Source organism: Homo sapiens, chromosome 21, assembly GCF_000001405.40.
Source record: "Homo sapiens chromosome 21, GRCh38.p14 Primary Assembly".
Lineage (NCBI taxonomy): Eukaryota > Metazoa > Chordata > Mammalia > Primates > Hominidae > Homo > Homo sapiens.
In genome coordinates this window covers 43,053,191-43,077,539 of record NC_000021.9, presented here as the reverse complement: position 1 = coordinate 43,077,539, position 24,349 = coordinate 43,053,191, and the positions used below count along the sequence as shown (strand labels likewise).

The following is a 24,349-nucleotide window of genomic DNA, read 5'->3' as shown; positions in this document are numbered from 1 at the left end:
CAGCTTGGTCAACATGATGAAACCCCGTCTCTACTAAAAATACAAAAATTAGCCTGGCATGGTGGTGCGTGCCTGTAATCCCAGCTACTCGGGTGGCTGAGGCAGGAGAATCGCTTGAACCCGGGAGGCTGAGGCTGCAGTGAGCCAAGATCTCACCATTGCACTCCAGCCTGTGTGACACAGACTCTGTCTCAAACAACAACAACAAAAACAACACCGTTTATCATCTTTCTCTCCCGCAGGCTGGCTGAAGGCTCTGAGGGAGGCCCTGGCCACCTTTCCCAGCCCTGTGGAGGCCGCCAGCCATCCCTGCCATTTCTCGTCTGGTGGCAGCACATCTCATCTCTGCCGCCATCTCCACATGGCCTTTTTCTCTCCGCGTGTCTGTGTCCACGTCTCTCTTCTTATAAAGACTGGACAGGATTTTTTTTTTTTTTTTTTTTTTTTTTTTTTTTTCTGGAGACAGTCTCGCTCAGTCGCACAGGCTGGAGGACAGTGGCGCGATCCCGGCCTCCAATGCCACCTTCCAGAGCCTTCATGATGTAACTCCATCCCTGTCCCCTCCCCACATCGCCGGCTTTATTGTTCTTCGTGTCAGTTCCTGCCAGTGGACATTTAATTCTAATTCACGTCTCACTCCCTCCCCTACTGTGAGCCCCACGTGGCAGAGACCGCGGCGGAGCTGCGCGGGCCGGAGGAGGCTGCGGAGCATCGCTCTGACCTGAGCCGGGGACGCTGCGGAGGCGCAGCACGTTCCTCTGCCCAGAGCTGATGGGCACCGTCCGTGTCTTTCGCTGCAGGTCCGGGGGGAGACTCGGGGGCCTGGGATCCCCCATTTAGCCATAGGGCGGGGGGATCAGGTTCAGCCTCTGAAAGTCCAGAGCACGATGTTTGGGAAACGGCCCCGCCCGCGGCCTCCGGGACCTGGCGAAGGAGCCCCGCGGGGCGCCCCTGCTACCACCCTGCGCGGAGTCGGCCCCGTCCCCGAGAGCGCCCGGCAGCCCCTGGCCGTGGGCCGCACCGGAGCCGCGCAAGGCGACTGTTCTGCGCCTCGGCTCGGGGTTCGGACCCGGCTCTGGGCGCGGTCACGCGGGGCGCTGCGCACGGCGTCCGGCGGCCACAGAGCGCGGCCATCGAGTCCCGCCCCGGCGCGGCGCCCCCTCCCGGGCCCGCGACACACGCCCTCGGGGTCGGTCCTCGAGGACGCGCAGGGCCCCCCACCCACCAGGACGCACGTTTCAAGCTCATCAGTAAAGGTTCCTTAAATTCCCGAAGGGCAAGAAGTTAACCAAGTAAAACAGCATCGGAACACCAGGTAGAAGACACCACCGGGGTCCGCGGGTGGGGGTGGCTGGAACCCGGGGCGGGCGGGCTCAGGCGAAGAGGAAGGCGGGGGAGGGGGCGGCGACCCGGGTCTGCGGTTGAATCAACAGGGCGTGGGAATGGGGCGGGCGGACTGGGGTGGGGGCATGCCGGGGTCCCGGGGAGGGCGGGGGTCGGGCAGGCCGGAGGGTCCCAGGCTGCGGCGGGGTGGGGAAGGGGTGGGGGGGAGGGGCCCGGGCTGGGTGGGGTGGAGGAGGGGCTGGGGGGGCGGGTGCTCTGCCACGAGACATTGGCCGGCGCCGGCCTCCGCCCCCGCCTCTCCGCCAATCACCGCCCGCCTGCTCCCCTCGCCGTGGGTCCCCGCGAGGCCGCCACCCCGGGGTCGCCGTCTCCGCCTCGCCGCAGTCGGGGCAGCCGCTCGCCCCTCTTTTCCATGTATCCGTCCAGGTGAGATCCGGCCCCACCGAGACTCGCTCCCCTCTCTGGACAGAGGATCTCAACTGGGTCCCGGTTTCCCTCTCCGCGCCTCCGCCCAGAGTTGCATCATCTGCACCGAAAGGCGGCGAGACAGGGTCTCCCAAGACCCCCGCCCCACCGGCGCCCACGCCTGCGGTCTTGACCGCCCAGAAGATGGGGGCTGGCCGTGCACGTGGCCCCGGGCTCCCACCCCAGCCCCCGCGCCGGCGGAGTGGACCCCACTGGCGGCGAGTCCTGGAGCGTGGAGCAGGGACGCGGGGTGGGAATCCGGGGGAGATGCACGTTTCGGTGCCCAGCATTGAGTTCGCTGCATTGTGGATGGGAAATGGCTGTTTGCAAATCGCCCTTTTTGGCGGACCGTGTGGGGTGGCGGTAAACGCTGTCGTTGCGCGGGCGGCACGCGAGGTGGGTGCCCGCTGGGGGAGGGACGCGGGGCTCTGCCCAGGTTGCGTTCGGGGGATGGAGGTTTTCCTGGGACCTCACTTCCCTGAGCCCCAGGCGAGACCGCAGCTGAGCTGTAGGATGCAAGCGGGAGGCGGAGCGTGGGTGGGAGAGCGGAGCGCGAAATTCTCGGCTTCCCGAGGATCTTCTGGGCTTACTTGTCCCCAGCTTTGTCCCAAAGTGTCGCTTCCGGAGGCGGAGTGGCCGGCGGTTTCCGGGTCTCAGTAGGGTCTGGATCTCCCACCTGGAAACCTAGAGGAGTTTCCCGCTCTCCGTGCGCGTGGCCTTCCCCAGGCCCCTCCGGGAGTGCTGGCGCGCGAGTGCAGGGGTGCCCCGGGAACGTCGTGACCCCAAGGGGGTCTTGTGGTTTAAGGAGCGAACGGAACCGGCCAGGCGATGCCAGCTGAACCCGCCTTCCCGGGACGCACGTGCATCCGGCCGCCCGGCGCTGTTGTCTTGGGGAGCCCGCGGGTTCGGGTCTGGGTCGCCTGGCGAGCTTTCCGCCGAGCGCCTCTGAGTTCTACAGAGCCCCGACGGCTTGCGATCTGCGTTCCCGGCAGTCCCTTACCTTGCGAGAGAGGGCTCCAGGGCGAGGCGAGGGGCCAAAAGCAAGGCGCTGGGCCGCCTGCGTCTGCCGGGGCCTCGGGTCCACGGCTTTCTGGAAGATTCGGCGGCGGAGCATGCGCGCCCCAGGCCAGACAGGGCCTGTGCCAGACGGAGAGTCCCTTCCCGTAGGTGACTCCCGCGACCCGCGGAGGAAGGTGCTGCTCCGCTCACGGCGGCGGCTTCTTACAAGGTTGGGATAGAAAGAAAAGCGTGGGACACGAACCTCTGAAAGCGGGTGCATTTTTCTGGGGAAGAGAAGATCCAACGCCTTCGGATTTTCAGACAAGTCCGTGGTCCCAAGACCTTGAAAGCACCACCCTCCAGGGTCGTTTGAAGCCGCTTTGGCCCCCAGTCTGGTGAATTGCAAAGGTGGAGGGGAGGCTGGGAAGTCCAGGAGGCCAAGCTGAGGCCTGGGTAGGGCCTGTGCGCAGAGACCACCTGAACAGCATACTCCAAGGGCTTCCAAAGGCAGCCGGCTTCCGCAACTTTTTCTTTTTTAATAGGCTTTTTAAAAAAAAAGCAGTTTTAGGCCGGGCGGGGTGGCTCACTCCTATAATCCCAGCACTTTGAGAGGCTAGGCGGGCGAATCACCTGAGGTCAGGAGTTCGAGACCAGCCTGGCCAACATGGTGAAACTTCGTCTCTACTAAAAATACAAAAATTAGCCGGATGTGGTGGCGGGCGTCTGTAATCCTACTCAGGAGGCTGAGACAGGAGAACTGCTTGAACCCGGGAGGTGGAGGTTGCAGTGAGCCGAGATCGCACCACTGCTCCAGCCTGGGCAACAAGAGGGAGACTCCGTCTCGAAAATTTAAAAAAGAGCAGTTTTAGATTTAGAAAAATTGAAAAAATAGATAGAGTTCCCCCAGTTTCCCCTGTTATTAAGATCTTAAACTGATGTCGTATATTTGTTACTTTATTTATTTTCTTTTATTTTTATTTTTATTTTTATTTTTTGAGACGGAGTCTCGCTCTGTTGCCAGGCTGGAGTGCAGTGGCGCGATCTCGGCTCACTGACCTCCCCCTCCCGGGTTCAAGCGATTCTCCTGCCTCAGCTTCCCGAGTAGCTGGGACTACAGGTGTGCGCCACCATGCTTGGCTAATTTTTGTAGTTTTAGTAGAAACGGGGTTTCACCATGTTGGCCAGGATGGTCTCGATCTCTTGACCTCATGATCCGCCCGCCTCGGCCTCCCAAAGTGCTGGGATTACAGGCGTGAGCCACCGCGCCCGGCCTATTTGTTACAATTAATGAGCCAATTCCACGATCACATAACCATTGTTGACATTAACCAAAGTCCGCGCTTGAGTCAGATTTGCAGAGTTTTCTCCTCACTGCCCTTTTCTATTCCAGGATCCCATGACAGATTCTGTTGTCACGTCTCCTTACAGAGTTTGAGCGGTGCTGAACTGTCAGCACCATCTGTCCGGTGAGTGACGGCTGTGGACTTAGTCTTCCTGTTGAATGTGGGGAATCAAAGGAGGGTGAAGCGGGGCTGAGCCCAGTCCTGGGCCCTCTGAAGAAGGCAAGGTGGGAGGTGGTCGTGGGTTCCTTGTCCCCCCAGAGGAGGGGCAGCAGATGGGACCTCGCCTGGCTTTCTTTTTGCTTTCTTCTTTTTTTTTTCTGTCTCATCTATTTCAGGTGCGTGTGTGTGTTTTTAATCCTGGGTAAAATACACGTAACACTGATCACTGTAACCATTTCTAAGTGTGAGGCAACCACCGTGACTATCTCCACCCAGAACGTTTTCATCATCCCCAGCACAACCTCTGCACCCATTAAACAATCACCCTCCCTTCCCCACTCACCTCAGCCGCTGGCCGCTTCTATTCTACTTTCTATCTCTATGAATTTGCCAGACATAGAGGGGCGTTCGAGAGTCCCAGGTGCCTCATCGTGGAAGTGGAATCACACAGTATTTGTCCTTTTGTGTCTGGCTCATTTCGCTTGGCATAATGTCCTGAAGGTTCGTCCGTGTTGTAGCGTGTGCCAGAATTCATTTCTCTTAGGGCTGAGTAATATTCTAGTGTGTGTATGAGCCTACTGTGTGTGTTCATCCGTCTGCGGATACGTGGGCTGCCTCCACGTTTTGACTTGTGAATAGTGCAGCAGTGAGCATGGGTGTGCAAGCATCTGTTTTGTTGTTGTTGTTTTATTTTTTAAATAGAGATGGGGCTGGAGCCCAGGCTGGTCTTGACCTCGTGGACTCAAGTGGTCCTCCTGCCTCAGCCTCCCGAAGTGCTGGGATGAGAGGCGTGAGCCACCGCACCCGGCCCAAGCAACTGTCTGCTTCCATTTTTTTTGGTATATGCCTATAGGAGAGAAATGGCCAAGCGGCTGCCCACAGGGCTGGTGCCTGTGTTTTTGTGCAGTTCTTCCTGGGCTTCTCTGAGGGAGCAGAGCACGCCTCCCAGAGGGGGCCGGGTCAGCAGGGTTCGCTGGAACCCCACAGCATCCGAGCCTGAACCGACGCCTCTCTCCTTGCTTTGCCAGGTCCCAGCATGCCTTCTGAGACCCCCCAGGCAGAAGTGGGGCCCACAGGCTGCCCCCACCGCTCAGGGCCACACTCGGCGAAGGGGAGCCTGGAGAAGGGGTCCCCAGAGGATAAGGAAGCCAAGGAGCCCCTGTGGATCCGGCCCGATGCTCCGAGCAGGTGCACCTGGCAGCTGGGCCGGCCTGCCTCCGAGTCCCCACATCACCACACTGCCCCGTAAGTCCTGCTTTTGATCACAAGAGGGCTGATCCATAACCTGGAGGGCAGGAGTTTGTTACCTGGACACCACACAGCCAGGAGGACATGAGGTGTAACCCCCTGTAGTCACTCTGGATTGAGGAGCTGGGGGTGGGGCCATGCCGTGTAGATGAGGCTCTGAGAGGCCAAGGCCTCCTTACGCTGCAGCCCAGCGCCTAGGCCAGTGCCTGGCAAGACAGTGGATGCTCAGCAAGTAGTTCCAGAATAAATAAATAAATGTGCCCAGGTCACATGCTTTGCCCGGTCTGTGGCTGCGTGTGCACATTCACTGGAGGTGAGGGACCAGGATCCTGCCTGCGCTCTCTTATTTATTTATTTTTTATTTTTTTGAGACACGAGCTGGAGTGCAGTGGTGCAATCATGGCTTACTGCAGCCTCAATCTCCCCCAGTTAAGGGATCCTCCCACCTCAGCCTCCCAAGTAGCTGGGACTATGGGTGCCCACCATCACACCCAGCTGATTTTTGTATTTTTAGGAGATGGGGTTTCACCCAGGCTGGTCTTGAATGCCTAGGTTCAAGTGATCCGCCTGCCTTGGCCTCCCACAAGTGTTGGGATTACAGGTGTGAGCCACCGCGCCCGGCCCAGCCTGCACTTTTCCGTTAACTCTAGGTCATGAAGACTTCCCGTAGGCATTACATATTTTTCCATAAGGGCTGTTTTTCTGGTGGCACAGACTGTTCGGTGAAGAAGCCATCATTTTGTAAGCCCTCTACGGGGTAGATAGATGTTTGCAGTTACCTCATTTTACATAACTGCAATAGAAGATACGACACATTCATTTAGCCAACAAGTCTTTCCTCAGCGCCATGTGCATTTCGTGCCCTGCTCAAGGCGCAGAAGATCTATCAGTGGAAAAGACAAATCAACAAAAATCCCTACCCCAGCATGAAACTGAAATCAAGCTCACTAAGCCTTAGGATTATCTTTATTTCCTTAGTGTAATCTTGGAGGAGAACAAATAGATCAAAGAATGTGCTTCTTAGATGTTTGATTCCTTTTTTTTTTTTTTTTTTTTTGAGACAGAGTCTCGCTGTCACCCAGGCTGGAGTGCAGTGGCGCGATCTCAGCTCACTGCAACTTCTGCCTCCCGGGAAGCGATTCTCCTACCTCAGCCTCCCTAGTAGCTGGGATTACAGGCATGTGCCAGCACGCCCGGTGGATTTTTATGCTTTTAATAGAGATGGGGTTTCACCATGTTGTCCAGGCTGGTCTTGAACTCCTGACCTCAGTTGATCCACTCGCCTCGGCCTCCCAAAGTGCTGGGATTATGATTCCTATTTTGTGTCCACCACTACCAGCGTTTATGGTTGTTGATTTACAGTTCAGAATGGGTGGGGGTGGCTGGGTGTACTCTCAGTGCAGCAATAGAAAGAAAGAAGTGACAGTGGACAAACCCAGAAGGTCTGAGTGTCAAACATACTCAGTGCTGGGAGCTCAGGAGGCCAAGCAGATGTGTGGGCAGCCAGGAGGATGGGCTCTTGCTGCCAAGACAAACCCAAGAGAGCAGTGGGTGAGAGGCCCGGTGAGGTCGGGAGTGGCTGCTGGAGGGTGGAGTGGGCAGGGAAGACAGGCCCGATTCCTGAGGGCTCCGTGAGCTCCTAACTCTAGGGCATGAGAAGGAGACGATGCCCTCCAGGTTGTAAATGGCGTTGCACCTGCACCTCACATACTGGCCTCATTCATCCTCCGAAGACACCCCCATCCTGAGACGCAGAGCCGACGCCGCTTGTCTCCAGTCGGAGGGCCCCTGAGAATAGTGGCGTTGCGGGGAGGTGCTGCAGAGGTGGGTCAGGAGTTGGAGGTTCATTCTAGGACAGTGGCGTGTCCTCCCAGGAGCCTCTTGGGCTGTGGAAGTGGGAGTCCTTGAGATAAGGGGCTCCAGGGCTATCCCTGCAAGTCACATCCTTTTTCTTGCTAAGCGCTCTGGGCCTGGCCCTGATCACCTCTGCAAACTTCTCAGGTAACTTCACAGCCACCGAGGCCCAGTGCTGAGTCAGCACACCTGCTGCAGGGAGGCGGGACTCTTCCCGCCTGGCTGGCCAGATGCCCGAACTGAATTAATGAACTAATCCCCGGCGCTGTCACCCTGGGGCTTGGCTTTCCACCTGGCCCTGGCTCTCTACACCTGCCAAGCCTGGTTCCCTTCTGCCGAGAACTGCTTCTGAGGGAACCTCCCTGGCCCCTGTACAGTTTGGGGACCTGGCAGGACTGCCTTCTGCTCCCCGGGAAGGGTGCGATTGGATTCCAGCTGCTCTTGTTGGCGCCTGTTTTGGCCTTCAGGGTAGCTCTCCCTGCAAATGTGGCACTCCCTCCATGGCACAGGACCTCTGGGAGCTGGGTTCACCCCAGGTCTAAGGGTCGCCTCCTGGGGGGCAGGACCCAAGGACCCTGGCTGTTCAGCAGGTGACTGTGCTGAAGAGGGGGCCCAGGGTTAGCCACGGGGTGTCATCGGAGCTGCAAGGCCCAGGGAGGGGTTGCGGGTCTGGAGACCGCTGTAAGCCATGCGTGTTCCCAGATGAGTATGTGGTGAGCTTGGTGCAGATAGATAGGGGGTGTCATCAGCATCTCCCTGGGGGAGGATGGCAGGGGCATGAGGGCCATTTAGGAAACCACCTGGACCAGGGTTTGAGGGTTTACACAGCCAGATGCTGCAGGGCAGGGCATCACGAGCCTGGCCGACAGCGCCTCTGCCGGGGCTCTGAGTCTGCCACGTGCCTGACATTTTCTGTGCAGGGCTAGACATCCCGCCTGCGCTTTGCAGCCATTGTCCCTGGTCTAAGGAGTCTCTGCCCTGACACTTTTTTGCTTCCTATGGTCACATGCTGAGAGATGAAAGGAAATGTCATCTCCAGTAAAGCCTTTCTGAAAAGGTGGACCTAAACCTTTGTTTTGGAGTCAGTATTTGCTTATTTTAACTTTTTTATTTGGAAATAATTTACTACTCACAATAAGTGGCAAAAATAATAGATCCTTTGTACCCTTCTCCCAGCTTCCCACTAACAACATCTGCCACGACTGTAGGTTCATTTTCAAACCTGGGAAGCTGGCATTGGTGCAAATAAACCACAGGCATGATTTGCTTTTTATAGATTTGTATGTCTAAGCATGTGTGTGTATGTGTGTTTCAGGCGTGTGTGTGGGATGTGTGTTAGGTGTATCTGTGTACAGATTTGTGTAACCACCACCCAGATAAAGCCAGTTCTTTTTTTTTTTTTTTTTTTTTTTTTCCAGTTCTTCGAGTGTTGATTTGTGTAAGACAATGTCTGCCAGGGCTGGTACTATTTTTTTTTTTTTTCCTGAATAATTGTGGACTCCTCTGTTTCAGGGCAAAATCTCCAAAAATCTTGCCAGATATTCTGAAGAAAATCGGGGACACCCCTATGGTCAGAATCAACAAGATTGGGAAGAAGTTCGGCCTGAAGTGTGAGCTCTGTGAGTGCCCTGGCTTTGGAGAGGGGCTTCCTCCATCTACACTGGGCTCCGTGGGCCTGGGGGGTCCTGGGGGGTCCTGGGATGGATCCCTTAGGCAAGGCCCTGGGATCAGAAAACTCGCTGGTTAATGAGTGGCCAAGAACATATCAGCTTAAGTTTGGGAAAAACACACAACAGGGCATTGTGTCAGAGGGTGACCAAAGTGACTCCCCAGCAGATGGACCAGGGAACGAACAGGTGACCTTTGAACTGAGGCCGGAGTGGAAGCAGCGAGGGTGTGAAGGGCCGGGTGAGGGTCAAAGGCAGAAGCAAGCAGGTGGGGAGGGTTAGCGTCATGCCTGCTAAGGAGCAGTGGACGGGTCCTAGCACGTGCTGTGAGCCACCCGCTGTCCAGGGAGCGGTTACCTCTGTCTTGCCAGCTTCGTGGGGACAGATAGTTCAGCTCATCATTTATGAGACAGAGAATGGGAATTTGGAGGGTCTGTGGCTGGCCTCGTCCTGGGTGCGCAGGGGGTCACCTGAGGTGTGGTCTGAGGCCTCCGGGGAAGGGCATTTCTTTGCAGGACGCAGTTTCCAGGCTCAAGAACGTGGAGGGAATTCCTAAGGGTCGCTCTTCACCAAGAGCGCAGAGCCCTGGTAGACCTCAGCATCGTCACAGAGAAAGCTGTGGGTGCAGAGGCCTTGGGGACAAGGCGGGGACGGAATTTCGTATTTCAGATGACCAAGGCCAAGTGAGTTCGGAGGGAGGCAGGAAGGGTGCCGCGGAGAACCCCGCGACAGGGCCAGATGGAGGGGGTGGAGTTCGAGTGGGAAGGAGAGGGAACCAGTAACATGGCTTGGGACTTTTTCATCCTGAGATGCTCTAATGTCCCAGCCGGGGGACCTGTGAGAGCTGGGGCAGGCGCTGGGGGAAGGAAGTCAGGGGTCGGTGCGTTGGGAACCGATCGCCGATTCACAGGAGGGGCCTCGTGGGAGCCTGGCCCTCCTCTGCCCCCCTCTAGGGAAGGAGATCTCGGAGCTGCAGCAGAGCAGCCCCCTTCACAGAGACCCCCAAGGCAGCAGGGCCGGCTCTGTGCTCATTTGTCAGACAATAGGGACCCTTAACTCGTACGCAGCACGCGTGGCTGGCTCACTGTGCTCCGTACAGGATGACGTCTAAACTTGGTGGTTGCCCTTGAAGTAGGTTTTGGAATGCCCGTTTTACAGACAGACACACCGAGGGTCAGGTTGGTCACGTGGCTTGCCGGAGGCCACCAGCTCTGATTTCTGCTTCGGAGCTGGCCCCCAGGCGCTAGTGAGAATGATCTAACTGAGGGTTTCACAGTATGGGACCCAGAGGGGTCCGAGAATGCAGGCCTGTAGAGGGCCAGACCCCGAGAGTCCTCCCCACCACACACAGCGCCTCGTCCTGGTTCTAGGGGCAACACCTGTCTGGTGGTTGCTTTCAGAAATTTTGAGGTGCTGCAGGCTGGTCCCAGGTCCCTCAAATCACATTTCATGCAGCCCAGTCTCTCGCTCTTAAAAACTAAATATTTTTAAGAGCTGGAGAGGGAGAGAGGACTTGCAGTAAGGAAGGAAGTGCAAGTGAAGGCCTTGGCCTTGTGCGGGAACCGCGCAGGGAGCCCTTCCCCGGGCAGGTGACGCCCCACAGGGGGAGGAGGACAATGGGAGGCTGTAGGGAGAGTATGCGAGTCCCCATCCGATGGGGAAGCCAGTGCTGTGGCTTCAGGACATCAAGCTGCTTTGGCAGGGGCCGCTGGGTATGGCTGGGCATAGGGGCGTAGGGGACCCAAATCCAGGCGCCTGCCCGCCACAAGCCCAGCTCGTGGGTGGGGGGACGGGGTTTTCTGCGGCGCCCCCCAGTGAGGGCTGCTTATGCCTCTCTGGTTCCCACAGAGTTGCTCAGCGCCCTGCAGGACCGGTAGGATGGGCTGCAGGGGGAGAAGCTCTGATAGGCTAGTGCCCAGGTGCAGGTGTAGGGGAGGTGAGTGGAGAGGTGGCAATTTTTCAGAACCCACAGACCCCCAAGCCCGTCCCCCACCCTGGGGTGTATCAGGTAATGGGGGGGTGAGCAGGAATCAATGGGGGGGTGGTCAGGGGGTCCCCTCTGTGATTCATCTCTGCCTCCCAGTGGCCAAGTGTGAGTTCTTCAACGCGGGCGGGAGCGTGAAGGACCGCATCAGCCTGCGGATGATTGAGGATGCTGAGCGCGACGGGACGCTGAAGCCCGGGGACACGATTATCGAGCCGACATCCGGGAACACCGGTGGGTGCCAGGCCCAGAGGGGGTGGCCAGGGCTGGCTGTCCCCTACCCATGCCGAGCCTGCCGGGACCCGGGGGGGATGGCTGAGCTGCAGCCGCATGTGCTGGCCCGCCTGGCCGCCTGCTCCCTGGCATCTTGCACCCGCTGCCGGCCTGTGTCCCAACCTAGCTTCCTTTGACCAGCATTCGGGGCCAGTGCCGATGCTCTCGGGGCGATGGCACCTGGCAGTGCCTGGCACACAAGACGAGCACCCGGAGTCTGCTCTTCCTGTGCCTGTGTACCCGGCTGGGCCTGGAGGAACCAGATCTCCTGTCCTGCGCCGCTGCCTCCTCCTCCTTGACGTGTACCTTTTATTTCTGCCTCTGGCAGCCTCTCTCCCCCTGCACTTGAAGGCAGAAGCAGCCATGTTGGGCAATTTTGGAATCCCACAGAACCCTCTTCCCTGGGCCCTAAGGGAACCGGCATCGGGGTGTGCCCCTGTGTCCCAGGCAGGGGCGGGGCAGGGCTTGGGGGGTCACTGGGCCCCTCTCACCCTCTGTGTGCCCTCAGGGATCGGGCTGGCCCTGGCTGCGGCAGTGAGGGGCTATCGCTGCATCATCGTGATGCCAGAGAAGATGAGCTCCGAGAAGGTGGGTGGGCGTGGCCAGGGGCGGGGTCATAGGGCAGGGGATGAGGGTGCCTGGGCCAGGCGGAAGGTGCAGGCCACCGCTTTCCCTCCTGCAGGTGGACGTGCTGCGGGCACTGGGGGCTGAGATTGTGAGGACGCCCACCAATGCCAGGTTCGACTCCCCGGAGTCACACGTGGGGGTGGCCTGGCGGCTGAAGAACGAAATCCCCAATTCTCACATCCTAGACCAGGTGAGGCACCTGGGGCCTGGAGACAGGCATTCCCTAGGAGGGTCTCGGTCAGGGATGTGGGGGTGACTGAGGTGTCAGGGGTCAGCTCACGGGCTCTGCTCTCTTTCTATGCAGTACCGCAACGCCAGCAACCCCCTGGCTCACTACGACACCACCGCTGATGAGATCCTGCAGCAGTGTGATGGTGCGTCCCTCTGTCCATCTTGATTGCATTTATCCCTGGCTGCCTGGGAGTGTACACATCTCTTGCCCTCTCCTTGGTGAACTCCTATTCACCCTTCAGAACCCAGCTCAAATGTTCCCTCTGTGAAATGCTTTTCTAGAGCATTTCTCTAGAACAATTTCCTCCCTCCGTTGTGCCCTCTTGGCCTCCGCCTGTGGTTTACCTGTAATAGCAAACACAGGGCATGGCTGTATTTGTTTACCCAGCAATCTCTGCAGGTCTGCAGGGGCTCCTCCTGCAGATAATGCAGACAGCGAGTCTGTTCAGGGCCCAGGCTGGTGCTGGGCTCACAGCTTGGACTTCATTTGGGATCATGCCCTGACTCGGCATCAAATTCATCTGCAGAACAGAGCTGGTGACATCTGCGATGAGCTCACTCTCTGTTACAAGCATGAGGCCGGCTCCTTGGGCCCTTTTCCAGGGACTCGGTGCCAAGGCCTGTGGGGGTTGGTACTGAGGTTTTCCCAAGAGATCCCTTTAGAGATAAGTTGCCAAGAGGTTGGCGCCCTGGCTTCCTATTGGGAATCCGGTGTTGGCATGGGCTGGAGTACACCCTCAGTCCGTGCCCAGGAGCCGGGCTGTAAGGTCCAGGCATTTGGTTGTTTGGGCTTTATGTGTGAGAACTCTCTCATTTGGCAAAAACAGTCCTGTCTCAGCATGGGTGCCCAAGCTGCTCCGTCTCGCTGAGTCTTTCCCTGCTGTGACTTCTCCACCAGATGCCCGCGCTGGCGGCCAGCAGTGTGAGCGCCCAGCGAGTTTCTGCGCTGAAGCCTAAAAGACTGATTCCATTTCCTGTGTAAATTCAGTTAACTCACTCACACCACGCAAACATCCAACAGCCCACGGAGGTGGTTAATTCACAGCCTCCCTCTGCCCGCCCTCAGCGCCTGCACCCCCCGGACAGGGTCCTGTCTTTCTGCATCCAGCCAAATGGGGGTTTTAGGGGTCGAGTGTCACTGAGCAAAGACTGGGCTGGGGTGCCCCAGGCTGCCTGTTTCTGAGGCTTTCACAGACCAAGGGCAGCAACGAGGGCTGCTCCAACTGGAGAAGAAGTTTTTCTTTTGAACTTTTTGGTTACCCACCGTGGTTTGGGCTGAGTGTGTTTTCAATGATTATTACTATGAGTGATGGGCTGGCCAGGCAGGGACCCAAGAATGTTATCCGTCCACCAGGGAAGCTGGACATGCTGGTGGCTTCAGTGGGCACGGGCGGCACCATCACGGGCATTGCCAGGAAGCTGAAGGAGAAGTGTCCTGGATGCAGGGTGAGTGGTGTGGCCGGGCCGGAGAGGGGCAGTGCGGAGTGGCCCCGGCTTCTGAGCTGAAAGCTGTCATTCCTCACGGTCTGCTCAGCACGCTGTCTCCCGCGGTATTTCTGCGCTGCCTGGGAGGTGTTTGGGAAGACAAGGGTGCTTGACACATAAGGGACCAGCAGCTCGTGACCCGAAGGAGCTGGGGCTGGGTGCTCGCTCACCGGCCAGTGTCTTGGAGAACCTTCCTGCGCTGAGTGGGGGGTCGGAGTTCCAACTGGGGGCCTCTGAGGATCAGCCAGGAGCTCTAAGTCCTCTGGTCCTGAGTCTGCCCCTCAACTGGGGCTTGTGGGAGTTGGGAGAGGGTTCCTGGACTCGGGGTTAAGAGCAGGTCTGAGGACGGGTGCCTAGAAAGGTCCCGCTGATGAGACAAGGGCGTTCTCTCCCTGTTGCTTGCCCTTGAAAAAGACGTCACTGCCCAGCAATGCCCTTTGTCCCCAAAGGCTCTGCTGCTCCGCCGCAGGGTGGTCTGTCTGGACTGTCCTGGGGGCCCCGCTCCGAGAAGCACCCCGGGGAGGTCAGTTCCTCCCAGGCACCTGCCTTTACTTCTGAGCGCCCTGCACTGAACATTTAGGTCATTACCGCTTTAATACTTGGAGCCTGGGTTCTTGGGTTTCTCATCCTGCCTCTGAGGCTGGGAACAGGCCACCACCCACAGGCAGATCATTAACAGGCAGTTGTTAACGGCGGTATTGGCCACTCCCATAATAGAATATCGAGGCATGTCCAGGCGGGGCTTTTGCTGGCCTTGAGCCCTGAAGCCGCGCCCTCTGCAGATCATTGGGGTGGATCCCGAAGGGTCCATCCTCGCAGAGCCGGAGGAGCTGAACCAGACGGAGCAGACAACCTACGAGGTGGAAGGGATCGGCTACGACTTCATCCCCACGGTGCTGGACAGGACGGTAGGTCGAGTCCAGAGCCCGGCCACAGTGCCGGTGCAGCCTGTAACTCACCCTCACACTGGGGAGCCTGGCTGACCCTGGGCCCCAACCAGCTTCTCCACTGAAACAGAAGGGCAAGCCCCGCACGCATGGTGAGAAGCTGGTCTCGAAGGTCGAGACAAAGTAGACTGGGGGACGATGTCCGCACACGTGGCCTGACCTCACCAAGGGATGTAGCCCAGGTGGCACAGGCAGGGAGCAGGGAAAACGTGTGAAAATTAAGGCCCCGGAAAAGTCTGTTAAGAGCCAAAAAGCTGACTTTGGCCTGAGGGAGAGCAGAGACCGAAGGGCCGGTGTGGGTCACACGGATGCTCAGTGGGGCTGGCGGGCAGTTTTGCTGTCTGCAAAACGTGTTGGAACTGGAAAGTCTGCAGACGTGCCGATCCCAGGGGGAGAGGCTGGGGTGAGACCTCTGGGGTCCTACCGCCTAGACACGGGGTCCACCATGAGGCTGTTCACCCTCTTGGTCACGTGGGAGCGGCTCCCACGCTGACGGGCTGTGGTGGGGTCCTGCTCAGGTGGTGGACAAGTGGTTCAAGAGCAACGATGAGGAGGCGTTCACCTTTGCCCGCATGCTGATCGCGCAAGAGGGGCTGCTGTGCGGTGAGTGGGTGGCGGGCACGGGGGTATGGGGAAGGCAGAGATGGCTAGGGGGCACTGGGGATGGCTGGGGGCGCACCCTCAGTCAGCCACCGACCTGCATGTGTAAGACAGCAGTTCTGAGGAGTGTCACTGCGGCGGCCACGAGCCTCAGGTGTTGTCTGCCTGCCCAGTGTGGTCACCTGCTCAGGTGAGGGCAGGAGGCCATGGGGCGGGGCTTCGAGCTGCCTTCCAGAATGTGTTTCTAGAACAAGGCTGAAGCTCTCATGGCACTTATTGTTTCTAATCAAGTCCACCAGGGCCCCTGGGGCGGTGGCTCTGCATTGACGGGGCCCATGGCCGGGACTGGGTGCTGCGAGCACCCTGGAGCAGCTGGGGAGGGGACTGGAGCCTGAGGCTGTCCAGCTCGACCCCGCTCACCTTCCTCCTACCCCGTGCCCCTCTGCCCACCTGCTTGGGGGTGGACAGACCAGGTGGCCGCTGGCAATGCCACTGACTAGCCACACAGGCAGCAGAGGCCCTGTAGGGACCACAGTTGATCTAGACCTCTGGGGACTCGGAGAGCACACACCAGCTTCTAAAACGCAGGCAGGGACATGTGAGGTTTCTACATGTGCATTCCGTGTGTCATGTCACTTTGGGGGTGGTGACAGGGAAAGTGGAAGGAAACCAGCCCTCAGCATGGCCAAGTCCCCCGTTAGCTGAGCCCCAAACTAGAGATTGGAAGAAAGTCTTGATTGAAAAACCATTTCCCAGCCAGGCGCGTTGGCTCATGCCTATAATCCCAGCACTTTGGGAGGTCGAGGCGGGTGGATCACCTGAGGTCAGGAGTTCAAGACCAGCCTGGCCAACAGGGAGAAACCCCGTCTCTACTAAAAATACCAAAAAAAAAAAAAAAAGTAGCCGATGTAATGGTGCATGCCTGTAATCCCAGCTACTCGGGAGGCTGAGGCAAGAGAATTGCTTGAACCTGGGAGGTGGAGGTTGCAGTGAGCCGAGATCACGCCATTGCACTCCAGCCTGGGTGATAAGAGCAAAAACTCCATCTCAAAAAAAAAAAAAAGAAAAGAAAAGCATTTTCCAGATGAATCTGTCACGAAAGGTGACTTGGTGCCCATAATCGTTGGGCTCTCCCTGTCTCAGTCTCCCTGCTCCCCATGTTGGTGGAGAAACAAGCCCCTGCCTTTGGGGCTGGAAAGCAGGTCCATGGGCCCCGTTACAGAGGAGGGTGCCTCTCTTCCTGTGGGGGCTCCTACTGCAGACTTAGACCTTCCCGACTGCTGTGTGCACCCTCAAACTAAGCCCAGAGAAGACGCCTCTGACTCTGACTTCAGGGCTCCTAGGGACAGCTGGTGTCACTGTGAGCCTTGGTCTCTTGTTTATAAAGCAGAGCCCAGTGTGCAGTCAGGCAGCCTGCAGGCGTGGTGCTGGGGGCTCCGTCCTCGTAGCATCGCTGGCTCTAGGCTCAGGGCCAGGAGGTTTGCCAGGGGCCGCAGCCCCACTGCAGGCATTTCCCTGGCACCAGTGCCCACCCCAGCTCATTATGAAGCCCCGAGTGGACACAGAAACTCCATGGTGCACAAGGAAGAAGCCGATGCTCACGGAGAAGTGGGGTCCTCCCAGCCCCTCTCCCCGAGGCAACCCCTCTTGACGGATCCTTCGGAGTGTGTCTGACATGCTCCCATGCGTGCACGTGCACAATTCATGCATACGTGTGCACCCACGCACGCTCACCCTGGCGCGTCTGACTCGTGGCCCTCTCTGCAGGTGGCAGTGCTGGCAGCACGGTGGCGGTGGCCGTGAAGGCCGCGCAGGAGCTGCAGGAGGGCCAGCGCTGCGTGGTCATTCTGCCCGACTCAGTGCGGAACTACATGTAAGACACGGCTTCCCTCCCAGGTCCCTGCTCCTCTCCATCCTGCCACCCTTCCCTGGATGCCTCTCACGCCTCACCTGAGAACCGGCAGCCAGAACTGGGAGGGGAGGAGGCCAGCGGGGCCCTGTGAGCACCGCCTCCACTCTCCTGCCCACGTGCCCTCACGCTGTGGGGCTTCCCAGCCTCTTAATGCTGTGAAAATCAATGCACACTCGCAGTGACAGCCCTGACAGGAGGGGCATGAAAGACGGTGGCTCCCTCTCTGTCCCTCCTGTCCCTTCCTCTCTGGTGTCTGTCCCCCTCACTGCTCTGGGGTCCGTGAGCTCCAACGGGTAGCCCTGGCCACATGGACTGACGTCCTCTTGGGCCGGGCCCTGTGCCACCTCCTATCCACCCTGACTCCCTCTGCTGCTTCCCCCAAACTCCAGATTGGGACCGAGTGCTGCCCAGGTGGCCCCCTAGGACTTGCTGTGACTGTTTTGCCCAGAGGCCCCTCGGACAGTAACGCCACAGACCTCGCTGGTCACCGGGCAGCCAGGCTGAGACTGGCGCTGCTCTGCACCTGGTCTCCGGAGGCGGTACCAGGGCGGGTGTCTACAGACCCCCATGCCCTGTCCCCTGCACCTGCAGGGTTTCCTCCATGGCCTGCAAGCTGCAGCGGCTACACAGCTCCCGAGAGCTCAGCTGCCCTTGGAGGGCCAGGCCTGGCTGGTGGGTGCCCCCAGTTGGGTTCCCCAGTGTGGGGTGATTCACATCTGGTGCCCAGGGTCAAGATGCCCTGTGCAGGGCTCCTGCCCACCCCCGTCAGTGCAAGAACACCATCTCCCCACATACTTGGCCAGCCTGCCATGTGTACCTGTGCGTGTGAGTGTGTGAGGGGCAGAGAGCGAGCATGAGAGGACGTGTTTATCTGAGTGCCTGAGCGATGGCTGTGTGCATGCTCACACACGCTTGTTGGCCATGGGGGCGGGAAGTCCAGCCCCCAGGCTTCCCCCTGGGGCTTCCAGCCAGCACTTGGGGGTCTCTGCTGCACCAGTGAGGTCCAGGAGAGGGGCTGGGCAGGCAGTGCGTGCCACTCAGCAGGGGCGGGGGCCCGGTGGGGCCCTGCGGGGACTCGGTGACTCCCCCATCCCGCAGGACCAAGTTCCTGAGCGACAGGTGGATGCTGCAGAAGGGCTTTCTGAAGGAGGAGGACCTCACGGAGAAGAAGCCCTGGTAAGACCGCTCGGCCGGAGACCCGCTGCCTGTGCTGGCCCTGCCCAGTGTGACAGGCAGGAGAGCACTCCCCCGTGGCCTGTGCTGGCCCTGCCCAGTGTGACAGGCAGGAGAGCGGTCCCCGTGGCCTGTGCTGGCCCTGCCCAGTGTGACAGGCAGGAGAGCGGTCCCTGTGGCCTCCTGCTGAGGTGCTGCCGGCGGGGGTGCGAGAGCGTTTGTCCTTATCCTGATCCCCCCGACCTGCCCTCTTCCCTCAGGTGGTGGCACCTCCGTGTTCAGGAGCTGGGCCTGTCAGCCCCGCTGACCGTGCTCCCGACCATCACCTGTGGGCACACCATCGAGATCCTCCGGGAGAAGGGCTTCGACCAGGCGCCCGTGGTGGATGAGGCGGGGTCAGTCTCAGCCCCTGCTCAGAGCTCAGTCCTGGGTTCTGTCTGCCCAGCTCCACCCCGTCAGTGTCACTGGACAGGGCAGCCATGCAGACCCTGCAGCTGGGCTGATAGGCCCGCCTGGGCCGCCTCATACAGACGTTCAGGGCATTGGAGGCCCCTTGCCGGTCCCTGAGCAGCCTGGGGCAGGGCTGCCGTGCTCACTCCAGGCCCTCAGACCTCAGCCCACCCACCCTTTGTGTGCAGGCTGTCCTGGGCCCACCTGGAGGTCAGGGGAGAGATGCCCCGAGGACATGTCTGACAGCAGAAAGCCTTGGCACACATGCCCAGTGACCACTGAGAGCCCCACGTCGCGGAAACCTGACGGCTGGTCACCCTTGACCCTGGCTGAACGGGTCCAAGGACTCTTGGTTTCTTTCTCCCCACCAGGGCCCAGACTGGTTCCTGCCGCGTGTAGGCTCGTGGCAGAGGACTTCCATGTGTGGCCAGAGAGCGCTCCTCCCTGGGGCAGCTGAGCGTGTGCCCCACCGTCCTGGGAGGGGTGAGGTATGAGCGCTGACCCCTGCCTGCCCCCGTCCCACAGGGTAATCCTGGGAATGGTGACGCTTGGGAACATGCTCTCGTCCCTGCTTGCCGGGAAGGTGCAGCCGTCAGACCAAGTTGGCAAAGTCATCTACAAGCAGTTCAAACAGGTACCCAGTCACCTACAGGCAGCTCAAACAGATGCGCAGTCACCTACAGGCAGCTCAAACAGGTGCCCGGTCACCTACACGCAGCTCAAACAGGTGCGCGGTCACCTACAGGCAGCTCAAACAGGTGAGCGGTCACCTACAGGCAGCTCAAACAGGTACCCGGTCACCTACAGGCAGCTCAAACAGGTGCGCGGTCAGCTACAGGCAGCTCAAGCGGGTGCGCGGTCACCTACAGGCAGCTCAAACGGGTGCCCAGTCACCTACAGGCAGCTCAAACGGGTGCCCGGTCACCTACAGGCAGCTCAAACGGGTGCCCGGTCACCTACAGGCAGCTCAAACGGGTGCGCGGTCACCTACAGGCAGCTCAAACGGGTGCCCAGTCACCTACAGGCAGCTCAAACAGGTGCGCGGTCACCTACAGGCAGCTCAAACAGGTGCCCGGTCAGCTACAGGCAGCTCAAACAGGTGCGCGGTCACCTACACGCAGTTCAAACAGGTGCGCAGTCACCTACACGCGGCTCAAACAGGTACTCAGGCACTTCGGGACCCCAGAGGGTGCCAGAGTACTCCAGCCTCGAAGGCGGGACACCGCGCTTCCCGTGTGGGGGTGCTGGGTCCTCGACCCTCAACACCACTTAGGCCGAAGCTGGCTGCACCCCTCAAACCATGAAGCTGAGAAGCACCCACTTTACAAGTGCAGCAGCCGGAGAGCAGGCTCTCATCAGTGCAGGCTCATCCACACCAGCCGTGTTTTGGGGACTTAAGGAGGTCATTCGCGCTCAGAGGCTGTCCCGGGCACCATGCGGCGTCTGCCGGGGTCTTTCTCCTGCCCAGCCTCATTTGCCTGTGCATGCACTTGGTTATCCAACAAGAGCTAGAACATTCTGGGAGAAGCCCACGGTGGCTCCTTGCCGGGCTGGTCAGACTCCGTGGTTGTCCTGAGACACCCACCCTCTGCTGCCCTGAGGGTGGCCCAGGAAAGTTTGTGTGACCTTCCACACGGATCCCCTGGGACATGCAGGTGTGGCTCTTGACACTGGAAAGGCTGAGGGTTCTGCCCAAACCTAGGAGTGAATTCGACTTCTTTCCCATCTCACACACACACCCGAGACGTCACCCGAATCCACGTATTTCCCACGTTCGGCTGCCACTGCCTCCCGGGTGGGCTTTGCAGGACCCACCATCGCATCCCCTCTCACTCCACAGAAAACTCGTGGGGCCATGTTCCCCCTGCCACTGACCACGCTTCCCTTGCAGATCCGCCTCACGGACACGCTGGGCAGGCTCTCGCACATCCTGGAGATGGACCACTTCGCCCTGGTGGTGCACGAGCAGATCCAGTGTGAGTGGGGCCCTGCTCTGTGCGTGGGGTTCTCACTGGGGTCAGGCCACCAAGCCTGGCCTCTGCCATGGGCAGCAGCTGGGCCCCCCATCCCCTGCGGGGTGTTAGGGGAGTGGGTGGTGCCGACCTTCAGTGACACCCAGTCTTTATGCCTGGGCCTCCCACATGCCCTGGGCTGGTGGGCTGTACCTGTGATTCCTGCAGGGACCCCTCATCAGGCCACACTGGGTAGGGCCCTTTGTCCAGCATGCAGAGGCTCAGGAGTCCAGGCCCCTTGCCTCCGGGGAGGCCAGCAGTCTTGGGGATTCTCAGGGACAAGCCCAGAAACATCTAGAAGGGTTTCAAGTCCTGACCCTGGCATTCGGAGGGCTGCTCTGAATGGAAGCCTCATGTGGGTCTCACAGGAGCCACTGATGGGCTGTCCTCAGAGCCCCGCTCCCAGCAAGCTCATGAGGTTTTGCAACTCCTGAGCGCATCCCCGGGCGTCCCCACCACATCCCCACAGGCCAGGAGAGTCGCTCGCAGGTTTTGGGTCATAGATGGCAGCCCTGGGCCTGGGGCCCACAGGAAGAGTTGGGAGGGGCCCTGGAGCCTGGAGCCTGCCCACCCACCAGGCCTGTGTGCAGGGGGTGAGCGCTCGGTGGCTGAGGCTGGTCCGTGAGGGCCCCAAGTCTAACCCCATCTCCCGTCCTTGGCTCTGCAGCGCAGGACCAGGCCTGGGCAGGCGTGGTGGGGGGGCCTGCAGGTAGGTATCACCCACCCCTCAGAATGGCTCTCAGGCTCAGATTCACAGCCTCCCCATGGCAAATGGAGGCCTTCCAGGGTCCTGGACCCACCCCCAAGCTTGGGTAGGAGGGATCCCCCTCTTAATCTCACATTTACTTGTGTTTGAACATCTCAGAAAAAAAAAAAGATGCAAATTCCAATGTCAGGGTCCCCAAATCAAGTCTTCCTGGAGCATGTCCACGCTTGTCACCACCGTCTGTGGCTGCTTTCAAGCACGTCAGGGCTGCGTGCTCATAACAGAGACGGCACGGCCCCCAAGACCTAAAATACCACCAGCTGGCCCTTGTCGGAAAGTCCCCTGGCTGGCCCTAGTCCATTGACTCTGGGCCGAGCTGCCAGGGCCACAGAAGCCTGCGGCACTCAGGGCTCCCAGGGCTCCCTTCTCCAACAGTTGCTGTGCCTCCGTTTCCCCAAAATGCAAGGAGCTGATCTCATCTGTGTTCCCTATCTTTTCCTGGGGCTCTAAGTGGGCCACCCCAAGGGACCTCTGCCTACAAAGAGAGGAGTGACAGCCGTGGCGGAGTTGGGACGGGCTCCGAGGGCTCTTCCTCACCCGCACCTTGCTCACCCCTCTGTGCCTCATGACAGCTGGTGTAGGGTCCTGTGGAGACGCAGGACCAAGAGGATGTGTGGGGAGCGGGGAGAGAGAGGGAACGAGATCTGTGTTAAGGAACTGGATCATGAGATCACGGAGGCTGACAAACCCTGAGATCTGCAGGGTGAGGCGGCAGGCCGGAGACTGGAGAGCCAGCAGTTCAAGCCCCAAGGCAGGAAATTCCACCTTTGGTTCTATTCAGGCCTTCAACTGCTTGGGTGAGGCCCTCCACAGTAGCACACGTTATCTGCCTCTTGACTCTTGTGCTAATCCGGAATCCCCTCACACATGCCCAGAACGACGTGTGACCAATGCCTGGGCTCCCACGGCCCCGTTAATCTGTATTAAAATTAACCATCACAACAGCCCTGTCTGGGTATGTGGCATGGGAGCCTCGGCCAGCATTAACACCGGGTCTACGCTTGCCAGGAGAAAGCAGGAGGGGTGAAGACAGAATCAGGCCAGAGATGGAAGCTGTGTGCTGCCCATGGTGGCAAGGGGTTTTTGTCTGTTTTTAGAGACAGGGTCTTGCTCTGTTGCCGACTGGAGTGCAGTAGTGCCATCATAGCTCGCTGCAGCCTCGACCTGCTGTGCTCAACTGATCCTTCTGCCTCAGTCTCCCAAGTAGCTGGGACCACAAGCGTGTGCCACCATGCTCGACTAATTTATTTTTAAAAATATTCTGTAGAGACAGGGTCTCAATATGTTGCCCAGGCTGGTCCCAGACTTCCGGGCTTAAATGATCCTCCCACCTTGGCCTCCCACAGCGCTGGGATCACAGGTGTGAGCCACTGTGCCCGGCCCTGTAAGCGGGTTTGAATTTCATGCCCACACCGGCTCTGAAGTCATGAGTGCCTCAGGAGCTCAGCCGGTGGGCCAGGGAAGGGTGTGTCCTGACCTGCGGTGGGTGGAGCCTGGCCTGGGGCCCAGGGGACTCACGTGGTGGGTAGAACCTGGCCTGGGGGCTCATGGGGCTCATGTCAGAAGAACACTGGCTTGGCCAGGCACAGTGGCTCACGCCTGTAATCCCAGCACTTTGGGAGCCGAGGCAAGTGGATCACTTGAGGTCAGGAGTTCAAGGCCAGCCTGGCCAACATGGCAAAACCCCATCTCTACTAAAAATACAAAAATTAGCTGGGTGTGGTGATGTGCACCTGAAGTCCCAGATACTCGGGAGTCTGAGGCACGAGAATCACTTGAACCCAGGAGGTGGAGGTTGCAGTGAGCCAAGACTGCACCACTGCACTCCAGCCTAGGGGACAGAGTGAGGCCCTGTCTCAGAAAAAAAAAAAGGAACACAGCCTTCGCCGCTGGGCTCCAGCCACCCTGGGCCCCCATGGTGCACAGGTGCCCCAGGCCCTCAGGAGCCTCCTGCCCCGCAGCAGCCCACCCAGCCTCCCACGGCACCTGCAAACCCACTGCCTCGTTCTCCCCTCAGACCACAGCACCGGGAAGTCCAGTCAGCGGCAGATGGTGTTCGGGGTGGTCACCGCCATTGACTTGCTGAACTTCGTGGCCGCCCAGGAGCGGGACCAGAAGTGAAGTCCGGAGCGCTGGGCGGTGCGGAGCGGGCCCGCCACCCTTGCCCACTTCTCCTTCGCTTTCCTGAGCCCTAAACACACGCGTGATTGGTAACTGCCTGGCCTGGCACCGTTATCCCTGCACACGGCACAGAGCATCCGTCTCCCCTCGTTAACACATGGCTTCCTAAATGGCCCTGTTTACGGCCTATGAGATGAAATATGTGATTTTCTCTAATGTAACTTCCTCTTAGGATGTTTCACCAAGGAAATATTGAGAGAGAAGTCGGCCAGGTAGGATGAACACAGGCAATGACTGCGCAGAGTGGATTAAAGGCAAAAGAGAGAAGAGTCCAGGAAGGGGCGGGGAGAAGCCTGGGTGGCTCAGCATCCTCCACGGGCTGCGCCGTCTGCTCGGGGCTGAGCTGGCGGGAGCAGTTTGCGTGTTTGGGTTTTTTAATTGAGATGAAATTCAAATAACCTAAAAATCAATCACTTGAAAGTGAACAATCAGCGGCATTTAGTACATCCAGAAAGTTGTGTAGGCACCACCTCTGTCACGTTCTGGAACATTCTGTCATCACCCCGTGAAGCAATCATTTCCCCTCCCGTCTTCCTCCTCCCCTGGCAACTGCTGATCGACTTTGTGTCTCTGTTGTCTAAAATAGGTTTTCCCTGTTCTGGACATTTCATATAAATGGAATCACACAA

General features: G+C 59.0%; 1 protein-coding gene across 28 annotated transcripts, besides 3 other annotated features; it reads left to right on the top strand.

Annotated features, from left to right (window-relative positions):
• On the top strand, positions 667-24,349 carry CBS (cystathionine beta-synthase). Of its 28 annotated transcripts, XM_047441025.1 has the most exons (20): positions 667-800; positions 1,276-1,315; positions 1,771-2,205; positions 4,199-4,274; positions 5,339-5,555; positions 8,925-9,031; positions 11,163-11,297; positions 11,845-11,924; positions 12,019-12,153; positions 12,268-12,337; positions 13,549-13,640; positions 14,462-14,587; positions 15,145-15,229; positions 16,994-17,099; positions 18,237-18,314; positions 18,572-18,706; positions 19,287-19,395; positions 20,653-20,737; positions 21,441-21,482; positions 23,557-24,349. In XM_047441025.1, exons 5-20 carry the CDS (start codon positions 5,347-5,349, stop codon positions 23,658-23,660), a joined length of 1,698 nt encoding a protein of 565 aa, XP_047296981.1. In that variant the 5' UTR covers positions 667-800; positions 1,276-1,315; positions 1,771-2,205; positions 4,199-4,274; positions 5,339-5,346; the 3' UTR covers positions 23,661-24,349. The 28 variants fall into 28 exon arrangements, 26 of the variants coding, with proteins under 26 accessions (XP_047296981.1, XP_047296986.1, XP_047296980.1 ...); XM_047441030.1 differs by lacking the exons at positions 1,771-2,205; positions 21,441-21,482 and having other exon boundaries at positions 23,557-23,678; positions 23,893-24,349; XM_047441024.1 differs by lacking the exon at positions 1,771-2,205.
• Positions 7,110-7,733: an enhancer, noted in NCBI's record as "H3K4me1 hESC enhancer chr21:44489917-44490540 (GRCh37/hg19 assembly coordinates)". NCBI's record gives its function as "activates a minimal SCP1, AML or CMV promoter by ChIP-STARR-seq in primed H9 embryonic stem cells {active_cell/tissue: H9 hESC(primed)}" and the evidence as "EXISTENCE:reporter gene assay evidence [ECO:0000049][PMID:30033119]".
• Positions 7,734-8,357: an enhancer, noted in NCBI's record as "H3K4me1 hESC enhancer chr21:44489293-44489916 (GRCh37/hg19 assembly coordinates)". NCBI's record gives its function as "activates a minimal SCP1, AML or CMV promoter by ChIP-STARR-seq in naive H9 embryonic stem cells {active_cell/tissue: H9 hESC(naive)}" and the evidence as "EXISTENCE:reporter gene assay evidence [ECO:0000049][PMID:30033119]".
• Positions 14,721-15,221: an enhancer, noted in NCBI's record as "H3K27ac hESC enhancer chr21:44482429-44482929 (GRCh37/hg19 assembly coordinates)". NCBI's record gives its function as "activates a minimal SCP1, AML or CMV promoter by ChIP-STARR-seq in naive H9 embryonic stem cells {active_cell/tissue: H9 hESC(naive)}" and the evidence as "EXISTENCE:reporter gene assay evidence [ECO:0000049][PMID:30033119]".